Raw genomic sequence first — 14,370 nt, 5'->3', positions numbered from 1 at the left:
GAAAGACAAGAATATGCTATCCACATGAATATACAGATGGGTCAGAACTACAGCCTGGTACTAAAAGATCTATTGTGGGCTCTGGAATAAAACCTCTATGTGATACATCCTGATCATGCCCCTTACTATATGGAAGCTACTGGGCAAATTTCTCAACCTTGGTATAAGCATTAGTTTTCTAGGCTTATAGAAACTATAAACCTAAAAATGACCTATTTTGCAGCATTCCTAACAAGATTAAATAAAATATTTTATATAAAGCACCTAGCATAGTGCCTGGCATGAAGTAGGTACTTAATAAACATTTGTTCCTTTAGAGATCCCTTCCTCTTTGAAGGAATATGTGTGCAGATGTGAAAAAATAACCAGACTTTTAAATCTAGGAGAAAGGTGGTAAGAATGCTGCCGAAAACAAATCTAGTATCTGTCTCATAAATTAACAGCTGATTAAGGGTTAGAGGAGACCCTTCATTTGCCAGGTGGGTAAACAGACTCATTAGTGTGTTATCCACAAGCTCCTTCTACCCAGCATTGCTATAGGAAAATAATACAGATGTTTGTTCTTAGATGTCTCTTTATTCTTCTTCTTTTTGCCTCATATCATAGTAACAGACACAGTTTATTCTGTTATCCTACAGAAGCTTATTTCAGAGCTTCTGCCAATTTGGGTAGATTCAAATGAGAAATTCTAACACTTTAAGTCACAGAAGCTTCAAAATTAAATCATTGGGAGATGGAATTTACAATTAAAAGAGTGGAAAGATTTGAAAAATCTGCAGCCTGTCCATGTAAAGATTGAAAACGTATGTTCAGAGAACAAACCAAGGGTGTGGTAAGTGGCCATTTGATAAGGATATGAGTAGAAGGAAGCCAGGTAAGACATCAAGACAATGGGAGAAAGACCTTGAAGCCATTGCAGAGCTCTTTCAGGCTGTCCCTCCTATCACAGGCCCAGAGTTCTAGGGGGGTAGAGTAGTTTTGGGAGGCAGGACCAGAGTGCCCTCCATGGTTTTACTGCTCAAAGTCCCCTCAAAACTCTGCTCCCTGCATTCTGGTGCAGTACTCCTTGGCCACTCCATCTATGGCTCCAGCAGGTCCAAGTGAGGCTTGTGGTGCAGCTCCAGAGGGTGCAAGCAGTAAGCTTTGGCAGCTTCCTTGTGGTGCTGACTCTGTAGACATGCAGAGTGTATGAGCTATGGGGTCATGGCAGCCTGCACCTAGATTTCAAACAATGTATTGGGAAGCCTGGGGGCCCAGGCAGAAACCTACTGCAGGGTCAGAGCTGCCACAGAGTCTCCATCAGAGCAATGTCAAGAGGAGCTGTGGGAGTAGGACCACTTCTGCGACCCAGAACTGCAGAGCTACCAGCTTGCAGGAGTAGCCTGGGAGAGCTGCAGGCACAAGACTCCAAACCATGAGGAGTTAATGAGGTTTACGTGTAATTCAATGGCAGATGAAAGACAATTATCTTTTCCCAATTACTGGCCTTTTGATAGGCTTTTCAAGTAAAAGCAAAGAGTCACAATCTTTTTGGAAATAGGAATTATGATTAATTGAAATTTTTTTAAAAAAAGTTTCATCTACACACACATTTGGTTCAATAACAAGCCATGGTACATGAGCACTAAAAGACTGAAAGATATTCTCTTGGGATTATATATGCTCTTCTTCCTCCTTTTCCTATTGAACATGAATCACAGCATTTATTTATATATGAGCACAGTACAGCAATTAAAGGTTATTTTATTTCTCCAAACTTAAGAGAAATAGTATATTCTATAGGTTAAAAATGTAAGGTCTGCTGTCTTATGATAGTCTCAAATTAAAAAAAAAACAGGCCAAAACTATCACATATTTAATATATTTCACTCCTAGTTGTGCAAATCTGAGGCTTATCCAGGTCCACTACCCTTTGCTCATTGTCTCTCAAAAAGCATTTAGGTCAGACAGAGAATATGAACCTTTTTACTCTGCCTTCTAATAAAAAGTTACACAGGGAAAGAAAACGTTATGTACACAGTGAAATTTGGTCAGAGGAACTTCTATTTTCTTCTTCTCTTCTACCTATATTGACATAAATAGAGATTATACCAAACAATTAATGATCTTTTTTTTTTTTTTTTTTTTTGAGACTGAGTCTCACTCTGTCACCCAGGCTGGAGTGCAGAGGTATAATCTTGGCTCACTGCAACCTCCACCTCCTGGATTCAAGCAATTCTCCTGTCTCAGCCTCCTGAGTAGCTGGGACTGCAGGCACACGCAACCATGCCCAGCTAATTTTTGTATTTTTAGTAGAGATGGGGTTTCACCATATTGGTCAGGCTGGTCTCGAACTCCTGACCTCAGGTGATCGACCCGCCTCTGCCTCCCAAGTGCTGGGATTACAGGCGTGAGCCACAGCGCCCGGCCTAATGATCATAAATTTATGCTAAACATTTTGCGTTTATGTCAGTTTCCCCCTAATTAGAAGTACTAAAATATCTAAATAATGAAAATAATAATAAACCTCTTCAATTTTACTCAATCTAAAATATAAGTTTTAATAAGGAAATTAAAGGAAAAAACATAATTATATGGATAACTTCTGGGTAGGAGTTATTTTTTAATATGTAACAATTTGTACAATAAAACTATACAACACTAGATATAGTCTCTAAATAAACTAAAATGCCATATATTTTATAATATAAATAGCTAATATATATAACAAGTGCTATTTAATGAGTGATACAATTAGGATAAATTCATCCTAAAATTTGAATTGTAAATTTTTAGATATTACCAATGTGATTTGCCACTTTGATACAGTTGTCAATAAATGATGCTCATAACTCAACCATGATTTGACATGGAGAGCCACATTAAACTATTCTAGTGATTTCCCCATTACATGGATATTCTGCTATTATTTATATTGCTGAATCTTCTCTCAGAAAAACAATTACATTTTTTTTCTAACTCATATAACACTGTCTGAGATTTTAAAATATTCAATATCTCTAGTCTTGAGCAAGGAATGAAAATCATTTATTGGAATGACATTTTAAATTAGATCAAACCTAATCTTTCATGCCAAGAGGTAGCAAATAATAGTCAATCGTAGACTGTTCCTGGGCTATGTGGATTTGAATCCTAGCTCTGCTACTAAGTCTTACATAATTTCTCTCAGAGCCTCAATATCCTGGGGAGAGGAACAAGATAACAGTTCTATAACTCAGTGAGTTAATATAAATTTAGAACAGTGTTTAGAATGGAACAAATGTTATATAAGAATTAGCACTCATTTTTATTCATAATGACCACGAGGGTTAAGCATTTGGTATGTTTTAAAAAACTTGTCCCAGTAAATGGAAGAAAAATTCAACAGAGTTGGTCAAAACAGAAATCACATTATGGGTATTCTCTGACCCCATATTTTTTTCACAGACCGTGTGTGTCCCATGTGGCATCCCTTTTGTTCCAGAAGTACCTACCATTTTGATGGAGCTCAAGATACCCAACTGATGTCTGTCTGCTTTCTCCATCTCTCTCAAAGCCTAAGTCTTATGAAAACTACAATTCCTGCAAGGCACTCAAGAATGATTTCAATGGCAGACAGACACAGACTTGAGGCACCAGAACGGTAGCAGATATTTACACTCAAGGAGCCAAGGCTGCTAACGGGGTGAATTCCAAAGTGGACCCCTAGCAAATTCCAATGGGGCTTATCTGGTGTAGGCAGAACACAGGGTACAAACTGATCCTCTGAAGTCCCTACAGATCCAATGGTGGTGCCTAGAAGGCAAGACTGGTATGGGAGAGAGGATGGGGGGATGGGAAGGGAGGAAGATTGAAATTAGCAACCAAGCAATTAAAAAGGATGTTGTCCTTCTTATTGGGATGGGCAGTGTCCTGGAGGCCCTTACTGGACCAATCATTAACCCTCTTTAACCCTCTTTTTTTTGGATCATAGCAAAGTCAGAAATTTCTGAAGACATGCTGTGATGGTTGGTGAGCACTCAGGGAACTCAAGGCAAAGTTTTAGCAACAAGCACAGAAGTATTTTAACCTTTTTATTTTATTTATTTATTTATTTGCTTATTTATTTTTTTTTAATTTAAGAGATTAAGTGTCATTATGTTGCCCAAGCTGGTCTCAAATTCCTGGCCTCAAGCAATCCTCCCACCTCAGCTTCCCAAATAGCAAATAGCTGGGATTACAGGTGTGAACCACCATGCCTGGTTCAAAACCAATTTTTAACAATCAATAGAGTTGTATTGGTACACAAATATGACTATCAGCCCTGGTTTGGAGGATCAAAGGAATGAGGCTAAGGTTCAACTTTGTCTTGGACCTGTCATACATTAGTTTTACAACTGTGTGGTTGTAAACTGCTGGCTCCAAGTATAACTTAGCAAATTATAGGGATACATAACCAGAAACTCAGTACCACAAGAAGAAAAAGTTGGGGAACCCCCAAACTTGCAGTAAATTAGTAATTAGTAACATAACTTTGTATAATAACTATATATGTTATAGTCACATACCAAACTGTAGAAGGAAAAAAATTCCTCAAGCCATTTCATTATTTCTGGAATGTCAAAGAATCCAAATCTGTCCTTACAATTTTACTCACCTGCCACTTTTTCATCTGTTTCCCTGTTACCATCATCTGAATATCTTGCAAAGTCTAAAGAATCAAGGGTACTAATGCTCCCAGCTCGATCTATAATAAAGAGAAATATAAAAGTTTTTTAATTTAATTGTTAAAATAAGGAACAGGAATTCAAATACTTATGATTATTTCCAGTTAATAAACCTGGAATTCTAAGATCCAGGAATTCTTTTAAAACAACAACAACAGAACAAAGTAAAAATGCTCACAGCAATCAAGTTACTTTAACTAAGTTTCCCTGCCCAAATCTCCGGCCAACTCCCAAATAATGCACACACAGGGAATATTGCAAGCAGCCCAGGCAAGGACAAAACAAACAAACAAAACAGAAGTTTGAGCTGCCACCTAAGAAAGAGTTTACAGATTGAACAAGTGCCTACTGAAAGAACAGAATCCAGTCTTCACGGCCTAACACACACATTATCCATCACACAGTCAAAAATTACTTGATACACAAAAACCAGTAAAATGTGATCCACTCCAAGAAATAACACAATCAATGGGACCAACTCCTAGATGATACCAGGACATAATGGTAAAATCAGTAGACTAAGATTTTATTATAGCTAGTATAACTATGCTCAGTGAAGTAAAGGAATATATGTATACAATAAACGAAAGGAGTTAATATCTTAGCAAAAACTATGGAATGTAAAAAATGCTAATAGAAATTCTAGAACTGAAATACAAGTATCTGAAATTAAAAATGCCTTGTACAGCCTAATCACAGAATGGAGATGAGAGAGGAAAGGGTCAGAAATCTCAAAGATGGATTAATGGAAATTATTCAATCTGCAGAATACAGACAAAAAAGATTGAAAAGAAAATTAACAGAGCCTTAGGGACATGTGGAACAATAAAAAAGGTCTAACATATGCAGAATTGGAATCCACAACTGATGAGGCAAGAGATGGGGTAGGTACAGGTTCAAGGTCAGAGAACATCAAGGAGGGTAAGTAAAGAGAAGAGAAACTTAGGCACCTATTAATCAAATAGCGAAAAACCAAAAATTTAGAGAAAATATTAAAAGCAGACAGAGAAAAACAATGTTCTCATAGAGGGAAACAATGATGTGAATGACTGCTGATTCCTCATAAAAAACCATGAAACCAAAAACATCCAGTTTGGAAAAGAACAAGCAAAACTACTGCTATTCACAGATGACATGATGTTATATATAAGAAACTCTCAGGAATCCACTGAAAAACATTAGACGTAACAAATGAGTTTTTCAAAGTTGCAGAACATGGGACCAATGCACAAAAATCAGTTGGATTTTTATACATTAGCAATGACAATCCAAAATTAAAACAAAGACAAGTTTCATTTCCAAACACATCAAAAAAATTTTAAGAATACATTTAACAAAAACATGCAAAATGTATACAGTAAAAACTACAAAACATTGTCCAAAGAAATTAAAGATGATCTAAATCAACAGAAAGACAGCTCAGGCTTACAGATAAGAAGATCCATATCAGAACAGCAATATTCTACAATTAATCTTCAGATTCAATGCAATTCCTATCAAAATTCTAGCTGCCTTTTTTTTTTTTGCAGAAATTGAGAACTTGATGCTAAAACTCACATGGAAACAAAAAAGTCTCAGAATAGCTGAACAATCTTGAAAAGGAATAAAGATGGAGGACTGATACTTCCTGATTTCAAACTTAAGAGTAATCAAGGCAGCACAGTTTTGGCATACAGATTCAGAACAATGCAATAGAATTCAGAGTCCAGAAATAAGCCCTTACATTTATGGTCAAGTAGTTTTTGACAATAGTACCAAGACATTTCACTGGAGGAAAGAAGTTTTTTCAACAAATTGTGCTGGGCCAACTGTATATCTACATGTAAAAAAAGGAAATTGGACCACTACTTCACATCACAAGCAAAAATGGATCATAGACCCAATGTAAGTGAAAATTGCAAAACTTTTATTAGGAAATGCAGAAGCAAATCATCATGGCCTTGGGTTAGGCAATCATTTCTTAGATATAACACAAAGCATTAGCAATGTTGTAAGCAGAAAAATGGCTCCTCACAGATGTCCACATTCTACTCCTTTGAATGTGTGAATATGTTACTTTACATGGCAAAGGTGAAGTGAGGTTATTATTAAGATTGCTTATCAGCTGACCTTAAAAAAGAGACATTATCCTGGGTTATTCAGATAGACCTAATGTAATCACAAAGATCTTGAAAAGTGGAGGAGGGCCATGAGCCAAGGAATTCCGGCATCCTCTAGGACCTGGAAAAGGCTTCCCCTAGAGCCTAAAACCTCCAGAACTGCCAATACCTTGATTTTAGACCATTTAGCTCAACGTGAGACCCACTGTGAGATTTCTACTATGCAGCCATAAAAAAGAAGAAGATCACGTCTTTTGTGGGAACAGCTGGAGGCCATTATCCTTACCAAACTAACGTAGGAACAGAAAGCCAAATACCACATATTCTCATTCATAAGTGGGAGCTAAATGAAGAGAACACATGGACACAAAGAAGGGAACGACAGACACTGGGGCCAACTTGAAGGTAGAGGGTGGAAGGAGGGAGAGGAGCAGAAAAAATAACTACTGGGTACTAGGCTTAGTACCTGAGTGACAAATTAATCTGTACAACAAATCCCCGTAACACAACTTTACCTATATAACAAACCTGCACATGCACCCCCGAACCTAAAATAAAAATTAGAAAAAAAAGAACCATGAGGTAATAAATTTGCGTTCTTCTGAGCTATGACGTTTTTGTCAACTTTTTAAAGTAGCCATAGGAAACTAATACCGTGATAAAGGAATGAACTGATAAACTAGATTTCATCAGAATTAAATTTTTTTTTTTTTTTTTGCTTTAAAAGTCACCATGAAGAAAGTGAAAACACAATCTACACAATGGAAGAAATACGTGCAAATCAAGTATCTGTTAAGGGCCATATCTACATGATATAAAGAATTCTTATAACTCAATAAAAAAGACAGCACAATTAAAAAATGGACAAAGCGTTCTCCAAAGAAGATATGGAAATGGCCAATGAATGAAGGAGAGATGCTCAAAAGGGAAATGATATTCATTAGGGAAATGAAAATCAAACCACAATGAGGTACATTTCAAATCAACTAGATGGTTGTAGTAAAAGAGATGGTAAGTTGCAGAAGATGTGGAGAAACTGAAACCCTCATACATCACTCTTCTTAATGTAAAGTGGTACAGCTGCTTTGGAAGTTTGGCAGTTCCTCCTTGAAAACATTATACTAAATAAAAGAAGCTAGACACATAAGGCTACATGGCTATATACTGTATGACCATTCATATAAAATGTCCAAAATTGGCAAATCCATAGAAACACAAAGTAGATTTTAGCTGGCATCATAGGAGAATGGGTAGTGACTGGTAATAGGTACAGGGTTTCTTTTGGGGTGATAAAAATGTTCTGGAATTAGAGTGGTGACAGTTGTACAATTTTGTAAATGCACAGAGAACCACCAAATTGTACACTTTAAAAGGGTGAATTGATGGTATATGAATTATTTTTCACTTTAATAAAAAGACAAGACAATAGTGTTGGTGACAATGTGAAGAAATTGGAATCCTTACATCTAGCTGGTGGGAATGGTATGGACATTTTGGAATACAGTTTAGCAGTTTCTTAAAAGGCTACAGAGTTATCTATCATAGGACAGTAATTCTACTTCCACCTAAAGAGAAAGGACAGTATATGTCCACACAAAATCTTGTACATAATTATTCATAGCAGCATTATTCACAATGGCAAAAAAGTGGAAACAACTAAATATCTGTCCATTGATAAATGAAGAAATAAAATGTGGTATATATCTGTACAATAGAATGTTATTCAGCAATAAAAAGGATGGAACTATTGAAACATGCTACAACAATGGATGAACTCTGAAAACATTATGCTGACAGAAGATAGTTATAAGAGAACCACATATTGTATGATTTCCATCTATATAAATTGCACAGAATAGGCAAATATATAGTGATAGAAAGTCTGTCTCTATAGACATAGAGATTAGTGATTGGGGGTTGAGGGGGAAAATGGAGTGTACGCTAATGGATAAGAGATTTGTTTTGGGGATTATGAACAGGCTGCAAAAGTAGATTAGGTAATGGTTGTACAATTCTGTAAATATACTAAAAATGAATGGAAATATACTAAAAACCAATGAATTGTACACTTTAAATGAGGCTGAGGTGGGAGGATCACTTGAACCCACGAGTTTAAGACCAGCCTGGTGGGCAACATAGCAAGACCCTGCCTCTACAAAAAAGTAAAGGCAGAAGGAAAGAACAAACAAGTGTATTGAGTTTTCCAAGTATGGACAAGTTGTGTATGAATAGCAGTTACAATGTACAGAAGCTGCGGGGCGGGGAGAGGGGGTGGTGGGTGGGGCGGGAGCAGGCAAGTCATGACAGCTGAGGCTAGGTAGGTTGTAAAGTAGCAGGAAGGACATTTTAACTGCTTCTCTATTAAATTTTACACACACAAAACTTTTTTTTATCCAGCTAATGTTTAAAAAGGGACAAATAAGAGGCTATTGTCAACCCTCTGTTAAATTGTTACTTACACAGTACTTAAAGTATACATATTGATCTAAGGAAATGGATTATTTGTGTATAGAAAGCACAATCTTGACAAATGAATGGAAGTTATAGGAATACAGATTTGGACTCCACCTTGGGCTCCCCCATCACCTTTTAAAACAGTTAGTACATCACAATAATCAAGATGGTTGACTCTTCAAATAGGGCTATGTCATTATCAATGTACCACTTGCCTTTAAATCCCTATTAGGTGAACTAAATGAAATTCTACATATATCATTCTTCTTAAACACTGTTTCTATCTGGAGAAACATTTAATTTCCCTGCAGTTTAATTATACCTGCTAAGTAATAGCTTGCAGGTTCTCCTTTACAAGCCTGGCCAACATGGTGAAAACCCATCTCTACTAAAAATACAAAAACTAGCCGGGTATGGTAGCAGGTACCTATAATCCCAGTTACTCTGGAGGCAGAGGTTGTAGTGACCTGAGATTGTGCCACTGCACTTCAGCCTGGGCGACAGAAGGAGTCTCCATCTCAAAAAACAAACAAACAAACAAAAACAAACAAAAAAACTTGCTATCTATCAACTCAAGTTTTTGTTTGTTTGTTTTGGAGACAGGGTCTTGCCCTGTTGCCCAGGCTGGAGTGCAGTGATAAAATCATGGCTTACTGCAGTCTCGACTTCCTGGGCTCAAGCGATCCTCCCACTTCAGCCTCCCAGTTAGCTGGTGGGACTATGAGCCACCAGGTCTGGCTAATTTTTTTAAAAAAATTATGGAGACAGGGTCTTGCCATGTTGCTCTGGCTGGTCTCAAACTCCTGGGTTCGAGCAATCCTCCTGCCTTGGCCTCCCAAAGTGCTGGGATTATAGGCGAGAGCCACCACACCCAGCCCAATTTAAGTTTTAAGACAACATAAACAAAAATAATGATGACAGAAAGCCAAATATTACAGTACTCTTCATTATAACATAGTTTCTTTCAGCACAAGCTAAGAAATACCAAATACAGTAACCACAGACATCTCAAAAAGTTAATATTAAAAATGTGCTGAACTCAGGACTACTACTTAGCAATTTAAAAATAAAATACTGACATGTGCAATAATATGAGTGAATCTCAAACGCTTTATGCTGAAAGAAGCCTTATAGGAGTACCTACAATATTTCATTTATATGAAGTTTTTAGAACAGGCAATAGTACTTTACGGTAGGAAAAAATTAATAGTGGTTCTTGTGGTAAAGGGCTAGAAGGGGTAGGAACTGACTGGAAAGGGCCTTGAGGGAACTTTCCAGGGTGATGGTAATATTGTATATATAATATGAGTTTGGGTTACTACAGGTACATTCTTTGTTCAAACTTATCAAATGGTACACTTAAGATTTATATATTTTACTCTCTTTAAATATTACCTCAAAACCTCCACAATTTTAAAATATTGAGCTCTAATTAATGACATGCATGATAAAGTATTAAGCGTACTGATATGTGCAACTTAATTTGAAAAGCATAAAAAATAAGATGTACTGTTGATGGAGAAATGGCTGAAAAGATGTATTGATATGAGATAAACCAAGTATGGTTAACTGGAATTAGGTGGTGGATGTATGGGTAAAAAATTCTTTCAACTTGTCTGTATGCTTTGAACTTTTCATAATAAAAAGTTAAAGAAATAAAACTTGAATGTATGGGGGTAAAATGAGCTAACACTGATCAGGATCCATTAATAATCAAGGTTGAATCCTGGAAAATAGCTATTCTTACTGTCTTAAATAAACAAACAAAAATTTTGTGTTTTTCTCCCTCTGTTTGAAATTGAACCAAAGCTAGACCATGAATCACTAAAAGAAAGGAAACAAATTTCAAAATATTGTGGATAAACTTTATAAGGCTTTTTACTAATAGACCTTTTAAATAACTGAAAATATAAAATGCTAAACTGGAATAAACCATTGGGTTATCAGTACGTCTGCCTTGGTAAATAACTAATATGACATATTATAAAATGGAGGGCTGGGTGTGGTGACTCATGGCTATCATCAGAGCGCTTTGGGAGGCTGAGGCGGGGGACTGTTTGAGGGGTTTGAGACCAGCCTGGGAAACGTAGTGAGACATTGTCTCTACAAAAAATCGAAAAATTAGTTGGGCATGGTGGCACATTCCTGCAGTCCCAGCTAGGAGGCTAAGGTGGGAGGATCACTTGAGCTCAGAAGGGTGAGGCTGTAATGAGCCATGATTGAGACACTGCATTCCAGCCTGGGTGACGGAGGGAGACTCTGTCTCAAAAAATAAATGCATAAATAAATAAAATAAAATGAAGTTCCTGGATTACTATGCAATACCTAAAATTTCCAGTTCTTTAAAATAAAATTAATCTAACTACTTTTCTCCAATATTTTTTATTACACTATAAATGATTATTCCTTCGAATTATTAAAAAAGTACTATAAATAATTATAAAATAAAAGTACATAGAAGACTAGATAAATCATCCTAACACCACTAAAACTGGGGATAAGGGCAGTATATCATCAAATTTTTTGCTTGAATTTCTAAATATTGTTTTTTGAATTTTCCCCCATATATAAGTATGTAAAGATATTTGTGTAAAAAATAGAATAAATTTATATATACAATCTTATATCTTGCTGTTTTTTTGAGATAGGCTCTTACCCTGTCACTGAGGCTGGAATGCAGTGGCATGATCATAGCTCGCTGTAACCCAAAACTCCTAGGCTCATGTGATCTTCCCGCCTCAGCCTTCCAAGTAGCTAGGACTAGAGATGTGCCACCATTGCTGACTAACTTTTTAATTTTTTTGTAGAGATGGGTCTCACTATGTTGCCCAGGCTGGTGTTAAATTCCTGGCCTCAAGCAGTCCTCCTGCCTTGGCTTCCCAAAGTGCTGGGATCACATATGTATTGTTTTTTAAAAATGAAGCTTATATAGTGAGAAATTGCAATATTATTAAGGCTACTGATAAAGTTGATTAAGGCTACTGCTAAATCGCTTTCCAAAATAAGTGTACATAGCAATCTGAATTCCAACAATAATATGTAACAGCATTTGTCAATGTTCAGTATTATTTTTAATCTTCACCAATTTAACATGCTATAAAATTATATTTTGTTTAATTATGTATCTCTTTGATTTCTAGTGAGCTTGGACATTCTTTTTTTTTGAGACAGAGTCTCACTCTGTCACCAGGGTGGAGTGCAGTGGCGCAATCTCGGCTCACTGCAACCTCCGCCTCCCAGGTTCAAGCCATTCTCCTGCCTCAGCCTCCCGAGTAGCTGGGACTACAGGCGCCCGCCACCACGCCCAGCTAATTTTTTGTATTTTTAGTAGAGATGGGGTTTCACCATGTTGGCCAGGATGGTCTCGATCTCTTGACCTCGTGATCTGCCTGCCTCGGCCTCCCAAAGTGCTGATATTACAGGTGTGAGCCACCATGTCCAGCTACATTCTTTCAAAAATATATTGACCATTTATTTTTGGGGTTTGTGTGTGAATTATCTATTCATGTCTTTTGATCTTGTATTTAATATCTAGATATTCCTGATATATTAGTTGATCTGGCCATTGCTGCCCTAAGCAGAAACTCCACTTGAGTACTATCTTCTCTTCTCTTAGGCCCATGTCGTGGCTCCTTATTAGCTACTCTGAAGTCTCTAACCTGCATAGGAAAACATGTACACTCAATGGTGAACTTTTATCAACCAATATTCTGGTGCTGTGATACCAGGCTTCATTGTTTTATTCCTGATTTTAATAGAATGTTAGGTATGGTGTTGGCTGTTAATTTCAGATAAATATTTCTTATTAGGTATCCATCTGTTATTAGTTTACTAAGTCTTTTTCATCTTCCTTCTAATATTTTAAATCATATATACAAGCCTAGATTAGAGCTACTTTGGTCATGAGACATTATTCTTCAATAACACCATTATTATTTCTCTAAAAGTTTTAAAGAACTCATTTATTCAACAGGGAGACTCTTGGGGGAAAGCAAACACACACTTTAATTTTCAACTTGGCATTATCATGGCCGTTGAAAAATATATTTTCTAATTTTTTCTAGTTCCAAGCCAACAACTTCATATTCTCCAGGAAAAAAAAGCTCTGATATCTTTTAATATAATAAATATGATGTCACAAAAGAAAAACAATCTCTCAATTCATTAAAATCTACTCCATCTTGTCAGAAAGAAAAATTATTTATGGAAGAAAGTAATTTTAACTTTGACTGGACTACCCTATATGTACTTTGGATTTTAAGACTAGTAACAGGTTATATTAAAGCTTCAAGGTAAATGTGCTTCTTTAGATTAAGCCACAATTCTTTTCCAGGAGAAGCAAATGCCTTTTGTTTTCCAAATGTCCTAATATACAAGAAGAGTTTGGGAAAATTAGCCTCTTTTATTAAGAATCTACCATATTCTAATATGAAGTATTTTAACTACAGAGCATTTCTTCAAATACCAGGATGCCTATTGTGTAACTTCTTAACAATTCACTTTATAACTCAGAAACAAATAATCAGGTACTTTCATCATAGTTGGTAAACTGGTAAAACCTGTTCATAAGTTTTATCAAGTCTGAGAACTAAACCTATTATACACAGTCGTGCAGATTGATGTTTTAAATCACATACAAAAGTAGTTTTATTTATATTTACATTTAATATTTTAGTACTGCTGAAAAATGTTTTTACTATAATTGAAAAACTTAGTCTCAGATCCTTGAAAACTACATGGCACTTTAAGAACCAAATGCATCAGAAAAACGGACCAGCTGTCGACTAATAAAAGAGTATTGGGTAATTTAAATATTTATTGAACAACTACTGTGAACTAGGTCACTGACAGGAATAGCAAAATAATTTTTTTAAAGGACATGGATATATAAGTCTAAGTAATCATGTTTATATATGCTTACATTTGCATTAATGTTTTTGTAAACATCCACAATACATTATTAATAATAACTGACTCTGAGAAGCAGAAGTACATTTTTCACTACATATTTCTCTTTGTATTATTTGAGCTTTTTGTTTTTACTTTTGGCATTTTCCCCCATAATTACATTTAATATATACTTTAATATGGGCACTTTATAATTTAAAAATCATGAAAGTATCCAATTCACA

General features: G+C 36.0%; 1 protein-coding gene across 28 annotated transcripts in view; it reads right to left on the bottom strand.

Moving 5' to 3' along the window:
• RELCH (RAB11 binding and LisH domain, coiled-coil and HEAT repeat containing) overlaps positions 1–14,370 on the bottom strand; it is a 122,995-nt gene that overhangs the window by 94,392 nt on the left and 14,233 nt on the right. For all 28 annotated transcript variants that reach the window (NR_144408.2, NR_144403.2, NR_144409.2 and 25 more), the window contains exon 2: positions 4,616–4,705. Coding sequence is in view for 17 of the 28 variants with exons in the window: in NM_001346230.2 (NP_001333159.1) it covers positions 4,616–4,705 (90 nt within the window). In the remaining 11 variants the exon portion in view is untranslated. The remainder of the gene's footprint in view (positions 1–4,615; positions 4,706–14,370) is intronic.

Source organism: Homo sapiens, chromosome 18 (assembly GCF_000001405.40).
Source record: "Homo sapiens chromosome 18, GRCh38.p14 Primary Assembly".
Classification (NCBI taxonomy): Eukaryota; Metazoa; Chordata; class Mammalia; order Primates; family Hominidae; genus Homo; species Homo sapiens.
The sequence above is the reverse complement of the archived record's forward strand: the minus strand, read 5'-3'. Positions and strand labels throughout refer to the sequence as shown.